The 17,277-nt window shown below is 47.8% G+C and overlaps 2 protein-coding genes across 29 annotated transcripts in view; both read right to left on the bottom strand.

Moving 5' to 3' along the window:
* Positions 1-407, bottom strand: part of GRK1 (G protein-coupled receptor kinase 1) — an 89,538-nt gene extending 89,131 nt beyond the window's left edge. The window contains exon 1 of the mRNA XM_047430493.1: positions 362-407. The gene's annotated coding sequence lies outside the window, so the exon portion shown is untranslated. The remainder of the gene's footprint in view (positions 1-361) is intronic.
* Positions 7,133-17,277, bottom strand: part of TFDP1 (transcription factor Dp-1) — a 56,786-nt gene continuing 46,641 nt past the window's right edge. For 6 of the 28 annotated variants that reach the window (XM_017020717.2, XM_047430554.1, XM_047430558.1 and 3 more), the window contains exons 5-12: positions 16,862-16,983; positions 15,321-15,486; positions 14,573-14,716; positions 14,004-14,072; positions 12,478-12,629; positions 11,906-12,072; positions 10,710-10,986; positions 7,133-8,486 (exon numbers count right to left, since the gene is read on the bottom strand). In XM_017020717.2, coding sequence (XP_016876206.1) covers positions 8,339-8,486; positions 10,710-10,986; positions 11,906-12,072; positions 12,478-12,629; positions 14,004-14,072; positions 14,573-14,716; positions 15,321-15,486; positions 16,862-16,983 — 1,245 coding nt within the window. In that variant the 3' untranslated portion in view covers positions 7,133-8,338. The remainder of the gene's footprint in view (positions 8,487-10,709; positions 10,987-11,905; positions 12,073-12,477; positions 12,630-14,003; positions 14,073-14,572; positions 14,717-15,320; positions 15,487-16,861; positions 16,984-17,277) is intronic. The other 22 variants (XM_005268327.2, XM_047430562.1, XM_047430566.1 and 19 more) reach the window with 8 other exon arrangements.

The raw sequence follows: 17,277 nt of genomic DNA, 5'->3' as shown, positions 1-17,277 counted from the left end.
ATGTTAAGTTAGCAGCTCTAACCCTTTCAAAAAACTGAAATGAGAACATTCTCCCAAACAAGCAAACCTGCTCTTGCTGAAGGCCACAGACTTCTCACCCAGACAGCAGTGAGGCCTGGGTCCCAGTTTCATCATGCAAGGCCACGGGCGTCTCACCCCGACGGCGGTGTGCAGCCTGGGTCCTGATTTCACATGCTCAGCAGTGTGGCTGTTAGTACCCAAAGGGCCCCAAGCACAAGCGACTGGCGCGTCGAAGTCCGTCAGCCCCCAACAGACACACAGAAAAGTCCATGAGAAACGGTCTTGGAAGAAAGATTAAAAACCTTGCAGATATGTTGTAAGGTTAACTAAATCAATTTACCGATGGAAGACGCTGTACCAAGCATCTCCAGTGCTTACTCCGTCAGTAAAAAACCGCCGGCAAAGGTCTCGGCGCAGACGTGAGTTCACGTCATGGGACGCGTGGCCACACTCATAGTCTGTGCTTCTCGAATGGAGGGGGCTCGTGTGCAGGTGGCGCCGCTGGCTGCCACTCAAGCTGGAGATGAGGTGGAAACACAGCTGCGGCGGGACGTCTAAGACGCAGGGTGGCGGTGGCCGGCGGGTGCGACACCAGCACAGAAGACACGGTACCTGTGGGAGGGCTGGGAGCCTGTGGAATCAGGTCCTGAGCCCAGGCCGGTCCATCATGCTGGGCAGTGAGGATTCAGAGAAAGGGAAGGAAATTAGGGGCTACGCACCAAAGACTTAAATCTGAGTTTTATTTTGCCTTTGAGAAATCAGAGGAGAGCTCTTTCAGGAACCCAGGAAGCAGAAGACAAGTCCTTGGCTCACCCGAGGCAGGGCGGGAAAGGGCGGCCGTGCCAGCAGGTTGGCTGTGAGCCCGGAGTCCTCGAGCCGTGCCAGCAGGTTGGCTGTGAGCCCGGAGTCCTCGAGGACAGCCGCCCCGCTCACTTGGGACGCAGGAGGAAGCTGAACTGGGAGGCGGTCATGCTCCCAACCAGGAGTAAAAGTGCTGCCAGGCACAGAAATGAAGTGGGCGGTGACACCAGAATAGTCCAATGAACACAGCCCTCGACTGTGTATTAAGAACACTCAGGGTGATATGTGGGACACCAGGGTCACCTCAGCGAGGTCATGCCATGCTGAAGGTCAGAGGTCAGAGGTGACACCACCTCAAAGTGACGGTGGAGCCATGAGGGTTCATCCCACCAGACTCTCAAAGCCAACCCAGCTGGAACCCAACACGCCTGCCACGTGTCCCATGGCCACCCAGAGCCCCCATCTCCAGGCCCTCAGAACCCTAGCCTCTTCCTCCCTCCCCAGACTCTCCATGGACACCAGAGCCCCACTCTTTCTTCAGAGGCAGGGTCTCTCTATGCTGCCCAGGCTGGCCTTGATGTCCTGGGCTCCAGCAATCCCACCCACAGGGGCACCCCCGTGCCCGATCAGAGCCCCTTCCTGATAAAGCCGGGGGCTGCTCCTGCCCCACCCTTCAGAATCACCAGCCCTGAGTTTCAACCCCCAAGGCCTGGAAGAAACACAGGCACAGGAAGCTCGCCACGGGAAGCCACGGTGCACCCGCAGGTGCTGGCTGCACATGCACCCACACAGAGCCCTCTGAGGCACGACTGCCCGTAGTTTTATGTAAGTTCCACAACCCTCGATATGCTTATGGTAATTCAAGATTAGGAAAAAATGATTCTTCTAAAACTAGTCTTCTATTGGAATTTTCAGTGATTGATTTAGCCAACTCAAATAAAACACTTAGCTCTCCTTCATACCTTCTATGTCCTTCCAATTTTTTTTTTTTGTGGTAAAATACATGTAATATAAAATCTGCTGTCTTAACCATTTTTAATGCAGTTTGGTGGCACTGGGCACATTCACAGGGTCCTGCAGCCGTCACTGCCATCCACCTCCAGGCCCCTCCATCCTTCCAAAGAGAAGGTCTGTCCCATTCAACACTCACTCCCCATCCCCTCTCCCTCAGCTCCTGGCAACCGTTCAACTTCCTGTCTCCATGATTCGACGACTCTAAGTACCTCATATAAGTATTTTATGACGGGCATATTTCACGTAGTATAACGTCCTCAAGGGGCATCCGTGTTGTAGTGTGACAGGATTTCCTTCCAAAGATTTCGCTGTCTGTACAAACCACACTTTGCTTGTCCACTCATCCACGGATGGACACTTCGGGTGCCTCCACTGTTTAGCTACCCTGAATAGTGGTACGTGTAGACATGGGTGTACAAATGTCTCTGGGTGTATACGCTGAGCAGAATTGCCGGGCATAGGGTAATTCTGTTTTTAATTCTGTGAAAAACAGCCATTTGGTTTTTCATAGTGGCTGCGGCTCTTTACATCCCCACCGTGTACAGGGCTCTGCCTTCTCCACATCCTCGCCAATGTTTATTTTCTATTTTATAGTTTAATCTATGTTGCCTTCATGATAGTGACGTTGAGCCCCTTTTCATGTTCTTACAAGTCATTCATAGATTTTTCTTTGGAGAAATGCTTATTCAAGCCCTTGCCTGTTTTTAAATCAGGTTGTTTGGTTTTTGAGTTTTAAGAGTTCTCTATGTATCCTGGATATTAATCCCCTACCAGACACAGGGGCTGTGCACATTTTCTCCCATTCTGTGGGCTTTCTACTCTGTCAACATTGTCTTCTGATGCAAGAAAGGTTTATATTTTCATAAAGTCCACATTGTCTATTTTTCCCTGTGCCTTTGGTGTCATATCCAAAAAAATCACTGCTAAGTCCAATGCCATGAAACTTCTGCTGTTTTCTTCTTTTGTTTTTTGAGACAGAGTCTCGCTCTGTTACCCAGGCTGGAGTGCAGTGGTGCGATCTCAGCTCACTGCAACCCCTGCCTCCCAGGTTCAAATGATTCTCCTGCCTCAGCCTCCGGAGTAGCTGGGATTACAGGTGTACTTCACGCCATCTCGCTGGGCTAGTTTTGTGTATTTTTAGTAGAGACGGGGTTTCACCTAGCTTTTACAATACTAGCCTCTTACAATACTAGCTTTTATAGTTGCGCACATATTTACCTTTACTGAGTTCTTGATTTCGTCATTTGGCTTCAAGCACACTGGTCTCAAACTCCTGACCTCAAGTGATCCACCCGCCTCAGTCCTGCAAAGTGCTGGGATTACGGGAGTGAGCCACCACAATCGGCCACTCTGTTTTCTTCTAAGAGCTTGACAGTCTTAAGCCTTACATTCAGATCTTAGGTTCATTTTGAATTAAGCTTTGCACTGAAACAGTGTTAAGGGTCCCACCTCATTTGTTTGCACATGGATAATCAGTTTTCCCAATACCATTTGTGAAAAAGACCATCCTTTCCCCATTGCATGGTCCTGGCTCCCTTGTCAAAAAAATCACTTGACCAAATATGCGAGGGTGTTTGGCTGGGCTTTCTATTCTATTCCTTTAGTCTGTAGGTCTTTCATTATGCCAATACTGCTCTGTTTTGATTATTACAGATTTGTAGTTTTGAAACCAAAAGTATGAGTCCTCCAGCTTTGCTCTTCAAGATTGTTGGGGCTATTTGAGGTCACTTGAGATTCTGTATGAATTTTAGGATGAGACTTTTTATTTCTGAAAAACAAATCACTGGGACTTTGACAGGGATTGCATGTAACCTACAGATTAAGTTGGGTAGTGTTGACATCTTAACAATACTGTGTTCCAATATATAGCCATGGGGTGCGTTTCCATTTGTTAATTCCTCTTAGCAATGTCTTGTCATTTTCACTGTATTAAGTCTTTCACCTCCTCCAAGTTAATTCCTAAGTATTTCATTATTTTGATGCTATTGTAAATGGAATTATTTTCTTAATTCCCTTTTCATATTTTCATTGTTAGTGTACAGAAACACAAGTGATTTTCCTGTTTACTTTACAACCTGTAACCTTATTAGTTCTGTTTTTTAGTGGATTCTTTCAGATTTCCTGCATATAAGATCACATCAACAAATGGAGATAGCTTTACTTCTTCCTTTCAAATACGAATGCCTTGTATTTATTTTTCTCACATAACTGCTTCACTAGAACTTCCAGTACTATGTTGAATAGAAAAGGCCAGGGTGGCCATCTCTGCCTTGTTCCTTATCTTAGAGGAAAAACTTTCAGTCTTTCACCTTGATGTTTGTTCTCTTTGAGTTTTTCATATACGGCATTAACTATACTGAAGTAGTTTCCTTCTATTCCTAGTTTGTTCTTTTTGCCATAACAAGATGTTGAATTTTATAAAATACTTTTTGTACATCACTTGCAATGACTACAGCTGAACGCAGTGGCTCACACCTGTAATTCAAGCACTTTGGGGGGCCAAGGTGGGACGATCACTTGAGCCAGGAGTTCAAAACCAGCCTGGGCAACACAGAGACCCTATCTGTGCAAAATCAAAAAATTAGCCTGGCATTGTGGCACACACCTGTAGTTCTAGTTACTTGGGAGCATAAGGTGGGAGTTTGAGCCCAGGAGTTTTAGACTGCAGTGAGCTATGATCACGCCACTGCACTCCACCCTGGGTGACAGAGCAAGACTCCATCCCTAATTTAAAAAAAAAAAAAAGCTGTTAATAAAACATTGAGATGATCATGATTTTTTCTTTCATTCCGTTTATGTGTGCATTACAATGATCAATTTTGTTATGTCAAAATATCTTTGCATTCTAAAAATAAATCCCTAGGTCATGGTGTGCAATCTTCTAAATACGCTGCTAGCATTTACGTTGCATGATCTTTGAAATACGCTGCCAGTATTTTGTTGAGGATTTCTGCATCAGTGCTCCTCAGGCATGTTGGTATTTTGTGCTTGTGGTGTCTTTGGCTTTGATATCAGGGTAGTAATGGTGGCTTCACAGAATCAGAATGTATTCCCACCTCTTCCATTTTTTAGAAAAGCTTGAGGACTGGTAGTTATTCTTCAAATGTTTCGCAGAATTCACCAGGGAAGCCACTAGGTCCAAAGTGAGATTTTAAAGGACTGATTCAATCTCCTTACTAGTCAAAGGTCTATTCAGATTTTTACTTATTTTTATTAAATCTGGGTAGGTTTTGTCTCTAGGAATTTGTCCATTTCATCTAGGTTTTTAAATATGTTGACACACAATTGTTCCTATTATTCTCTCATAATCCTTTTTATTTCTGTAGAGCCAGTAGAAATGTCCCCATTTTCATTTCTGATTTTAGTAATGTCAATCTTTCTTAGTATACCTAACTAAAGGTTTGTCGGTTTTATTGATCTAAACACACTTTTCGGTTTCTTGATTTTCTCCTTTGTTTTTGTTCTCTGATTTTAGCTCTGCTCTAATTTTTATTAAATTGTTTTCCCTCTACTTGCTATGGGTTTAGATTTTTTTCTAGTGTCTGAAACTAAGTGGATTCTTTCAGATTTCCTGCATATAAGATCACATCTTGCAGGGCAGGTCTAGTGGCAGCACACTTCCTCAGCTTTTGTTTATCTGGGAATGTCTTAATTTCGCCCTCACTTTTGAAGGACAGTTTTGTCAGTTGTAGAATTCTTGGTAGTTTATTGTTTTTCTTTTAGCAGTTTGAATATACTGGCCCACTACTTTGTGGCCTCCAGTTTCTGAGGAAAACTCTGTGGATAATTTTATTGGGGGCCCCTTGTATGTGATGAATTGCTCCTACTCTGCTGCTTTCAAGGTCTTCTCTGTCTTTTGAAAGCTTAATTATAATGTGTCTCGGTGTGGATCTCTGAGTTTATCTTCCTTGGAGTTCATGGTGCATCTTGGATGTTTATATTCATGTCTTTTATTAAACTTGGTGCGTTTTCAGCCATTATTATCTTCAAATATTCTCTCTGCCCCTTTCTTTCTCTTCTCCTTCATAGACCCCACAACATGTGCACTGGTCAGCCTGATGGTGTCCTGCAGGGCCCACAGGCTCTGTTCACTTCAATCTTTTCTCTTTTTGCTCCTCAGACTCAGTTATTTCCACTGTCCTGTCTTCAAATTTGCTACTTCTGCCTTTGAATCACTCTGATGAATTTTTCATTTCAGTTGCTGTACTTTTCAGCTACAGAATTTCTTGTTGGTTTTTCAGGTTGTCTGCCTCATTATGATCCTTGCATTTGGTTCTATTTTCATTCTCTTGACTTTCTGCACATGTTCTTTGGCTTCCGTGAGCATCTTTAACACAGTTATTTAAAAGTATTTGTCTAGTGTACCTGCCAACAGATCCTTTTCAAGGACAGTTTGTTTTTATTTTTTTCCCTTTAAATGGGCCATACTTTGCCATTTCTTGGTATGCCTTGTCACTGTTTGTTGAAAACTGGACATCTGAATCTATTACTGTGGTACAACTCTGAAAAGAAGTCTCCTGTTCCCCCGGATTTGCCATTTTTGTTATTGCTGTGTTTATTGCTTTTTTGACAGCTCTAGGCTGTACCTGTGCCATGGTTCAGCCTGAGGTGTAAACGTAAGGTCTTCTCGGGTCTTTTCTGAGCCTCTCCCTGGGCAGCCCCATATATACAACACAGTTGTTTTTATACGTCCTAGTCTTCAATGTCTGGCTCCCAAAAGGGGAAAGAGAAAAATGAAGGAACAGAGGTCGGGGTAGAAAGCTGAAATGGACCAAAATTAACTGCAATGTGCTGACCAAGCCTCCCTTGAAAGCTTTAAGCCTTCAGTAGATTCCGTAGTTACAGAACAGCTGCATCAGGCAGATCCTGCCCGCGAGGTAGACATCTACCTGGGCAGCCAGATTCCTGGTGCTCCCTATTCCACCATCTTCCCAGAATCCTCTCAATCTTATTCTTGTTCTCAAAGTCAAACTTTTAAATTTTGTCTCAATTTTCATTGTGAAAAAAGGCCAAGGAACTTGGCTTATCTTTCTCTGCACCACAGGCACCGAAAAGGAAGGTGCCTCTTTGCCCTGTGTCCACCAAGACCTCCACCCTTGGCCACCTTCCACCTTTTCAGGGTGGGCTCCCGGAGGATGTGCCTCAGACAACATGTGGTGGTGGGGTTTGCACCCACAGGGACCACCCGGGCCCACCGCGTCTGGGCCTAACAACCTACTTTCTCACTCAAGTATAAAGTAAAACCAACAAGACAGACAAATTTCTAGATAATAATCCTGAATTAGAGAAACACAGCTTGTTTAAAATGCCCATGCGCGTTTTATTAATAAAAACTAACAGTGCCAAGTTAAACAAGTCAAACAATTAAAGTCTCTTTATATACCATAAAATATTACAGAAAAGTTTATTTGTGTTTCAATAAAAAGACTATCGTTTTAGAACAGGCAGCTAATAGCAACTGTGCAGTTAATGGGTTTTGTGAATAAATTTTAAAAGAGACTACTGCCTGTCCTTAAATTCCTTTTTCTTTTTATAAAAAAAGAACTATTAAAAATGATTGACAAATTTTGAGTTAAAAAATTGTTAAAACATTCTCTATATTTAATTTCAATTTTATAATAGATTACAGGAAGATGCTTATGAAACAAATACATTTGTTTCAGTACATGTCTTTAAATGATAGACTTATAAGTATGTAAACAACTATATAATAAAAGGTTTCCAAACGCTGCCTGTAAGAAATCAGGCAAATTTTACCATAAGCAATAAACCATTCCAAGCCTTCCAGACAGTCTCCATAGCCGCACCAGCATGGCAATAAGCTTTAACCAAACGAAAACAAACAAACAAAAGCACTTCGCAATTTGTTGCTGCAAAACAGGGAGAGAAAAGAGTGTACAAACTTGATGGAATCACAACAGTCAATATAATTTAAGGGACAATAAAGTCAATAAGGTTGATGGTGTTTATTGTTTAAAAAGTTGAATTCTGCTGTTTGCTTGGGGCTGTTTAGAAAGTTGCATTCTGCTGTTTGCTTGGACACCGTACCACTGAACAAACTCCACAGAGTCTTGCTATCCGCCAGCAGGGGTGCCGTCCAAACTCACGGCAAATAAGCGGCATCAGGGGCTCACCATCCACAACAGGAGGTGTTTTATTTTCATGGATGTGGTTGAAATACAATTTCTTCAGCAAACTCAGCAAAAACTTTTCAGGGGCAAAAATGAACTCTGCACTTAAAGAAAAATAGCAAATGAAAACACAAAATCCTAACAAGTAAATAAACGCTCTGCATCAGCACACTGGTATCAAAACACACATCCACAGCACGTCCTAATCCTACGGGAAACAATCCTTGCTTATCAGAGGTGCATATCTAAATTCAATAGCTTACCAATATCTTCTTGGGAGTAGGCCAAAAGGAAACAGAAAACCCACATTAAAAAAAAAGTTTCTTTTCGCTAAACGTTTTCCTGAAGCCGAATCTGAAGTGGGGAGGACGTCAGTCGTCCTCGTCATTCTCGTTGAAGTCATCGTCCTCCTCGTCGTCCTCCCCGACGTAGGACACCGGAGTCTCCACCCTGGAGCCGCTGTACTGAGACCCATTGGAGCTTGTGGCCAGCATCCCATCTGCACCGTTGGTCAGGTCACTGCAAGGCAGGAGGCGGATGGCGCCGTCAGTGCAGGCGGCCCACCCAGCCTCCCCCCGCCTCAGGGCTTGTGGTCAAATGACAGGCTGTGCCCCACAGGTGTGGGTTTTGTCAGTCACACAAACAGAACGGGGAGGCTGAGTGTCTGCACTACAGCACGCCAACGCTCTGGCACTTACTCCATCTCTGTCTGGTTCTCTTCTGGCCCTGTCTCCTGGAACCCATAACGACAGAAACAGGAGGCTGAGCAGAGCCACACGCTGCCTCTCCCTCACTCATCATTCCATCAGGAGCAGTGCCCCAGAGGGAACAAACTGTAAAACCATTAGATCCCTCCCTCCGGGACTTTCACTCATAACCAGCAACAGGAAAAAAGAGAGCCCGGGGCAGGACAGGATGGAGTCCAGAGCGTGGGTCGAATCTGGCAGCGGGGACTGAGAACCCAGAGGGCTGGCAGCACCACAAAAACCTACCACCAACCAGAGCTCACTACGTTCCTAATGTTTAAAGATGTTTTCAATTAACATAAAACCATATGTACATATTTTAATACATTTTAATGGTATTTATTAACACTACAATAAAAATGTGTTAATGTGCCTTTTGATGAAGTAATTCTGTATCTTGGAAACAAGTCAGAAATGGCGAGAAATTCAGCTGTAAAGCTGCTCACTGCAGTTTTTATTCTAACTGGGAACTACCTAGATGTCCTTTCATGAGGTACTTGTATAAAATGTCTCATCATGCCACTATGAAAATCGGTATTTCGTAAGAAATGGTAATAGCTTTGTTTCCATTGTTATGAAAAACTGACAAGTCTGAAGAATCACATCCATAAAAAGGATTATGTGATGATAAAAGTCCTAAAAATACCCACATCCCACCTCATGGAAGAAGCAGCATTAAACATGTTTACAGACTGACCGCCACACGTTCACACATAGCTACAACAGAAGGAGAACCGGCCTCTGTCAAAAGCTTGTCACCAAAGTCCTTTCTTCCATCACCACCTCACTGATCCTTGCCACAGATCAGTAACTCATCAATCACCAGTCTCACCTTACAGGTGAGGAGGCCAAGGCTGGCTTTGCACTTCCAGAGCTGGCCAGGAAGCTACACGTGCCCGACACACCTGTTACATCTCATGGCCACAGCACATCCCAACGCAGGCTCAAGCACACTGAAACTCACTATGTCGAGCCCTGTTACCCGGACCCATAGGTTACTGAGTTCTTGTATTTCTAATTAAAGATTTTATTAACACTTAAGATTAATATAAAGTAATACTATATATTGTATCACAATGCAATATAAAAGTTAATAAAATCATTGTTTTGTTAATATTTACCATAAAAGTTATATTTATCTTTGAAGCACTAAGATCAATACCTAGGGACACCATTCTACTCTGTGGGATTGCAGGTCAAAGATTAAATACAAATTTATTTAAATAAAGGCCCTTTAATAGCATAGAAACAATATATATTCATACAATAAAATGTAAGCTGAAAAATGCACGGAACAAAATATGTGTGCTGTGACCACAGACGCGTTCTGAAAAATACGTGCGCTGTGATTGCAGACGCGTTCTGAAAAATACGTGTACCATAATCACAGACGCGTTCGCAAAAATACATGCACTGTGATCGCAGCACGTGCGCCGAGACCGCAGACGCGTTCTGAAAAACACGTGCGCCGTGATGGCAGACGTTCTGAAAAATACATGCGCTATGACCATAGATGCATTCTGAAAAACACATGCACCATGACCGCAGATGCGTTCTGAAAAATGTGTGCTGTGATCGCAGACACGTTCTGAAAACTACTTGCGCCCAGACCGCAGACGCGTTCTGAAAAATACGTGCGCTGTGACCGCAGACGCGTTCTGAAAAATGGGAAAAAAAACCTGGAAATACTTGCTGTTACTTGGGCTGCCGGGGACAGGAGGATTTGGGTGGTTTTCATTCCTACTTTACTTATTAGGTGATACTATGAAAAAAAAACCACCATGTATTACTTTCAGTTTTTAGTGAGCAGAAACCAACTAAGAAAAGCAGCTCTCCACACAGGGAAAGCCAGCGGGGCCCCACTGCCTGGACAGACAAGCCACGTCAGAGCAGCCACAGACCTGATGGCCACACCTGAGACGGCTGCCCTGCCTTGGCCCCTGGACCCCGGGGGAGGCCCAGATGACGCCTCTCCCACACCCTCAACGACTGTCACCTGGCAGAGAACCTTGTGCCGTTAGACGTGGAACCTGCCGTCGTGATGAACACGCCTCCAACAGTTCCCTGAGCCATTTCTGAAAAGGGAAAGAAAATAAGCGAATGGTCATGAAACAGAAACAACACAAGACGCACAGGCAACCAACAAAATGACGCGCAGTTCCACAGGACAGACGGCTGTAGAAGCTTCCGGATATCCTTCGCTTGTCCAGTATTTTCCACACTGCGCCACGGAGCAGGACATCCCGCTGTGCAGTCACATAAGCCTGTCTTCTCTAAAAAGGCAAGAACAGCCTTGCAATAAATACCTGCACACACTGACTTACAAACGGCACACGTGTGCTGCTGCCTCAGTATCATACCCATCGTGAAACGGAACCGAATCAAAGTGTCAAGCTGAAACCCTCTTCCCACAGCCCATCCTGGCAGCTCCATGAAGCACGGGACAGAGGCCGGGGTCAGGGCCCAGCCCACGTGGGCGGCCAGAGCCCACTGTCACCTGACAACATGGACCAGCCAGATTTTCACAAGATCTGGGGCAGTCTAAGAGCTCAGGGAGGAATCTCTGACCCTCTCAGGGAATAAATCTACACCCCAAGTTTAGGCTAACAAGAGAAGGATCAGCAGATATGACACCTTCACAATTTCTCACCTTAAAGCCATCCTGCTGTCAGTGGCTGGGACCCTACGGCCCCCAAGGAAAGAATTCACCAGAACAGAAAAAAAGCTCCTTCAACAAAAGCTCCTGTGCTCCCGGCCCTCCGGAGCAGGACGCCAATGACTCTGAAATGCTTTTTCTTGGTGACTTTGCCCTAGTGACCAATCAGCTACCATCAGTGGGTGGGATCAGCAATCCAACTGCACTTCTCAAAGAATCTCAACTTCTACTTCTGGGCCTACTTGGAGGGTAAAATCCTGACTTAGCACCTCCTCACACAAACCACATAGGAAATCCACACGAGCCACCTGTGGACTCAAGGCCCCCATATCCAGTGGGTCACGGCACTGGCTGGACCCCACCCCAGCCACACCCCTGCCCTCATCCCCCTCACAGCCCCTTTGTCTTTGCTCCTGGCCCTACACACGTGGGCCTGATCTCAGCAAGACACATCCCGAGCCGGGAGGGGAGGGCACCGTCGGAGGCTGGGGGCCATTCCTCACACAGCCACGCCAGGTTGTCTGGGCATTGCTGACCTGTCACGTATGGCTCCAGAGCCTTGGGGACCAGACTTCTGGCCATTTTAAGGTCTTCGGCAGAGCAGCTCCCCGACTCCAGCCCGCAAGCCATGCCCATCCGCTTCAGCACTTCTATGTCATCGTGGATTTCAAATGTGTTGTCAAAATTAAACAGATACTCAAATCTGAAGGGGAAAGGCACAGTCAGAAAGACAGGGTCTCCCAGCGGAGACGGTACACACTGGGGTGGAGCCAGGACGGCTGACCCGCTGACCGCCACACACAGCTTCCCGGTTCCCAGTCATCAGTGTCTCCTCACAGAATTTATAAACTCTGAAGTAAATGAGATGAGAGGCAAATCGAGGCCTATTCTCCCCAGGAGGACATGCCCTAAGGCACACGCTCCCGGAACAGAGACCTTCCATCTGCCACATGGCGGCAGCCTCCCACCACCCCCCAATGGACAGCAATTTGTGCAACATTTGCTATTTGTACAACATTTAAAACTTGTCCTAGTGACAATACCAACAGGGTCGGCTCCCTAAAAAAGAGATGGGTGACCAGGGAACAGCTCCCCGCCCACAACCTACTTGTCATTGGAGATGCTGCAGTCGATGACCGTCTTCTTGCTGGTGTTGACGATGATGAAGGGCAGGTGGATGACTGAGTTGGGTGGCGGTGGCCGGCTGGCCTGCTGCTCCGCATGCCGGTTTCTCTGCACCAGGTTCTTGAAGGCAATTTGCTAAAAAAAATAAGAGGAGCCAGGTGGCCCGTGGCGGCACAAGAACGCAGCCCCTGTGCTCGAGGGGTCCTCACAGCCCTCCCTGCGTCCACGTGACAGCGAGGAGTTGGCCTGGACATCTGAAATGCCAGCGCCGGCCGCTGGGTGCTGACCTCTGCAGCCCAGGGAGAAAAGCGCTCAGGAAACGGGATCCTGAGGGGAGAACTAAGGGAAAGCGGGCGCACAGCCATCCGTGCCCTGATAAAAGTGTCCTCCACGGCAACGGCGCTCAACAAAACACCAATTTTGGAAGTCGATTCCTTGCTGTCCTTCACCCCTCTAAGACCACCTACCACCATGGCACCTACAGGGTGATGGCCTTGGAGGGGGTGCCGTGCCGTGGACTTTGCCCACCCTGGAAAGTGGAACGCAGAAGGGCCCATGTGCTGCAGGGGTGCTCCTCTGGGGGAATAGGCCCTGCAAGGCTGAATCCAGGGCCAGGGCCTCAGGGCCCCAAACCAAGTGTTCCACTTGGAGAGACCTTCTTTGCTATTAATGTAGAGCCAGGAGATTCCCTTCCTCTCCCGGCCACCCTGGGTCTATCCCCACCTGGCAGGTCCTAAGGCACTGGCAACCAGGACTGTCCCTCCTGACACTCTGTGGGTCCTGAGGAGCTCCTGCCCACGAGCCTCCATCACCACGGCTGCCACACCGTCCCCTCTGGGAGGGCTCGAGCACACCTTGGTCAGGGCAGCAGCCAGCTCTGCAGTGAGCACCTTGCACACAACCCCCTCCACACCAGACACGGGGCCCCCAGTGGTGCCGCCCACCCTCAGCACTCAATGGGAGGTGGGGAAGGCCAGCTCCAGGGCCCTGATCAGCACTGTCAAGACCCAGGTGCACTGTGTCCACCACAGTTTTACAGGCCTTGCCTGGCACCTGGGCCTTGGGTTAAGCACCTCTGAGGAGATTTTTCAAATGTTGCTTTTGCATGAAGTCATCCCTCCATCTGTCTTTTGCCTATTTAGATGCTGTGACGAGAGATACACACATACACATGTATGCACACATGCACACACACACACGCACACAGGCACATGCACGCACACACATGCACACGCACACAGGCACACGCACGCACGCACACAGGCACATGCACACACACACACATGCATGCATGCACGCACACACACATGCATGCACACGCACGTGCACAACCTCGCTCTGGGAATAAGGCCCACGTTCAACACCTATGAGATGAACTCACACTCAGAATCTTAGAGCAGTCATTTGATTTGCCATGCAGGAGTGTAACCCAAGGCAGTATGTTGCCGTTATAAAGCTAAATTAGTAAAATAAAAATTACCCTGCCTCCACAGATACGTATTCTCTTACCTGTAGAATAAGTTCTTGAAGTTGAGACTGTTTCTGTTTTATTCTTTCAAGTCTCCTCTGTCTTTCCACCTTCAAAAACAAACCACCCATGTGAAGAATCATCACAACTGTTCCACAGAGCGTTTTTTAAAACCCACATCCTCACATCCTCACAGTGTTACCTATGTTTACCCAGAATGTAATCGAAGGGATATGGACAAATCTAGACATAGCAGGTGCTACAAGATATAGGTGAGTTTTTTTTCCATTTCTAAACTATACCTTCTCCCCTTTCCTCTCATTTCTTGGATTTAACTATGGTATCTAAAAAGAAAACAAAAATCCCACAAACTAGGATTCAGAATTAACCTACACTAGAGTTTAACAGACTCTAGTGGGTCTGGGCCAACCATGCTCCCTCCCCTGACAGCCAAGACTGAGAAACGCAGGGAGACGTCTGCATGACCGTCTGCCAGCCGGACACAGAGAGCATAAGGGCACGGAGCCCAGACCCTTCTGAGTGACCGACGACTAAAACATCTACACGGACTTGAAGGGAAATCAAGGTTGAAGGAAGGCTGAAGGGGCACCTCTAAGTTCTGACATTCCTGAGCCGAGTTGGTGGGCAGACCAATCCACTTGATCTCCTTCTTCTCCTTGGAGATGATGTTCATGGCCATTAGCACGTTTAAGGCATCGTAGACGCGCCGTCTTATGTTTTTCTGGTCATAAGCCTGGGGATGACAGGGAGTGGAGTTTCCAAATGATCCAAAAAGGCCGGTGGATCCTTAAACTGTAGACCATGGGCACTGGCTCAAAGGGGCACCCCGCTCACGGAGCCGCCACCCCAACATGCCCTCAGGGAGCGCTCCCACCCCACAGATGACGCAGGGCAAGACGGGGCTGTGCGAAGCCTGAGTGTGTTCCAGAAGGAGAGCCGGGGGCTCTCGGGTGTCGAGCCCAGCTGGTGAGGTGGGCATTTGTGCATTTCTGGGCCGCTAGACGTGCAGAGCCAGCCCACGTGCTCACTCACTGGAGTTGACAAAGCATCGTGCCAGCAAATGGATCGGAAAAATTCTTTTATGCTGTACTTGGCATTTTCTGTATGGTTTTAACTGTTCCCGATATTAAAAGAGCGAAACGTACCACACCGCTGGGCTCCGCCACCCCAGCCTCTCGGCCCCGGCACACACTTACTGACTCGTTTGGTAAAAATTCTTTTATGCTGTACTTGGCATTTTCTGTATGGTTTTAACTGTTCCCGATATTAAAAGAGCGAAACGTACCACACCGCTGGGCTCCGCCACCCCAGCCTCTCGGCCCCCGGCACACACTTACTGACTCGTTTGGTAAGATGTGGTTGTCGGCAGCACTGAACTCCGCAACCAGCTCGTCTGCCACTTCGTTGTAGGAAGTGGTCCCTTTCCTCTGCACCTTCTCGCAGACCTTCATGGAGAAATGCCGTAGGCCCTTGCCATTCTTCTCTCCTTTCCTGTTGCGCTTCCTTCAAAATACAAAGGAAAAGAGAAGCGACTGTCAGCCCTCCTGAGGATCAGCCTGAATCGAGGAATGCTTTTACCTGAGAGCTCTAATGAGCTGCACAAAAAGGGGCCACGTCCCACGGGCGCAGCAGATCCAACACGTGAGCAGGCCAGGACCCCCTAGCCCCAGCCCCCAGGCCCAGTGGTCCTGCAGGTCAGAAAGCGAGTGTCTCCCCAGCAGGCTGCACCTCTAACCTTCCAAGCGTCAGGGAAAACGGGAGGCGTCCCCAGGACCCAAATCAGCATATGGGAGATGTGCCGGTACACCAAGCACCACTTTTCTTTTTGTTGTTGTTTTTTCTTTTTTGAGACGGAGTCTCGCTCTGTCGTGGGCTGGAGTGCGGTGGCGCCATCTCGGCTCACTGCAACCTCCACCTCCTGGGTTCAAGCGATTCTCCTGCCTCAGCCTCCCGAGTAGCTGGGATTACAGGCACGTGCCACCACATCTGGCTAATTTTTTTGTATTTTTAATAGAGACGGGGTTGCACCACGTTGGCCAGGATGGTCTCAATCTCTTGAACTCGTGATCTGCTGGCCTCGGCCTCTAGGATTACAGGCGTGAGCCCCAAGCACCACTTTTCTAAAGAGGGCAGCCAGAATCAGGAACTATGGGACGTTTCAGTGTAAATTTGGGAATTCTTAGGACTAATTTCAGCAGGCTGTAATTTCATACAGCTTGGGCTGTGACAGCCGCTTGACAACAGGTGCAAAGCACTAAGTGTGCTTCAGGTCGAGGGAAAGCCCAACTCTGTACACTCTGGTCAGTCCCCACATGGCGGGAAAGGCCACCTGAGGTTCCTAGCTGGTGAAGCTTTGGGCACCAACACAGGCAGGCTTTTGCAGCTTTGCGTGTGTGTGTTTTTAAGGAAAGACACAGCTCATCAGATCTTGCTTTAGTGGAAGGAGCAGCTCTGGCGGGACCACCCGCGGGGGCCGTAACCCCAGGGGCAGTAGAGGCTGAATTCAGGGGCAGTGGGTGAAATCCATCCCACATGCTCCCAGCACAGACGAGGGAAAGTCTCCGAGGTCCTGTGGCGAGTACGAGGCCAGCTTCTCCCCGTCTTGGCCAAGAGCTGCCAGCCCTTCAGAGAGCACCCACTACACCAGACACAAAGCGGGGTGGGCGGTGCCCAGCCCGACTTCTCCATGACCGAGGCAGTGCGCCTCGGCTGCACACCTGTGCAGGCCACGATGATGGGTGAGTGTGATTCGGAGGCTGGCGTCAACGCGCGTGGGAGCCCCATCGCACGACTGTGTGACACACGTGGCCCAGGAGAACGTGGAGGTGCGAACCGCAAGCAGTCCTACAACTCTAAGGGTCCAGAGGGAAGTGCTCACCCGGCAGACCAAGGTGAGGAGTCGGAAGGCTGGTTCTGAGAGGCAAAGTGAGTGCTGGGGGTGTGTGGGCTTCCTACCACCAGGGTGTTTGACGCTGCCGGTCTCTGAGGCGTACCAATTACCTACAGTCGAAAAAGACAATTCAGACAGTCAGTCCCCTCCCACACGGCGAGGGTGCCATGCCCACCATCTGTTCGCTATCCGCAGCCACTGCTGAATTTCCTTAACCACAGTGAGCAGCCATGACGGAGCAGGAAAAACGTCCAGCGGTGGACGCTTTTGTCACGGTGACGGCATCACCCCACCGGTTCTGAATGTGGCTCATCTTCCTCTTGTCAGTCACAGGCATCTTCTCCAATTAGACAAAAGCAACAAGAAACTTCGGACGACCCAAGCAAGCAAGAACAGGACAGGGC

This window comes from Homo sapiens, chromosome 13 (assembly GCF_000001405.40).
Source record: "Homo sapiens chromosome 13, GRCh38.p14 Primary Assembly".
Classification (NCBI taxonomy): domain Eukaryota; kingdom Metazoa; phylum Chordata; class Mammalia; order Primates; family Hominidae; genus Homo; species Homo sapiens.
This window is presented reverse-complemented; position numbering and strand designations above follow the sequence as displayed.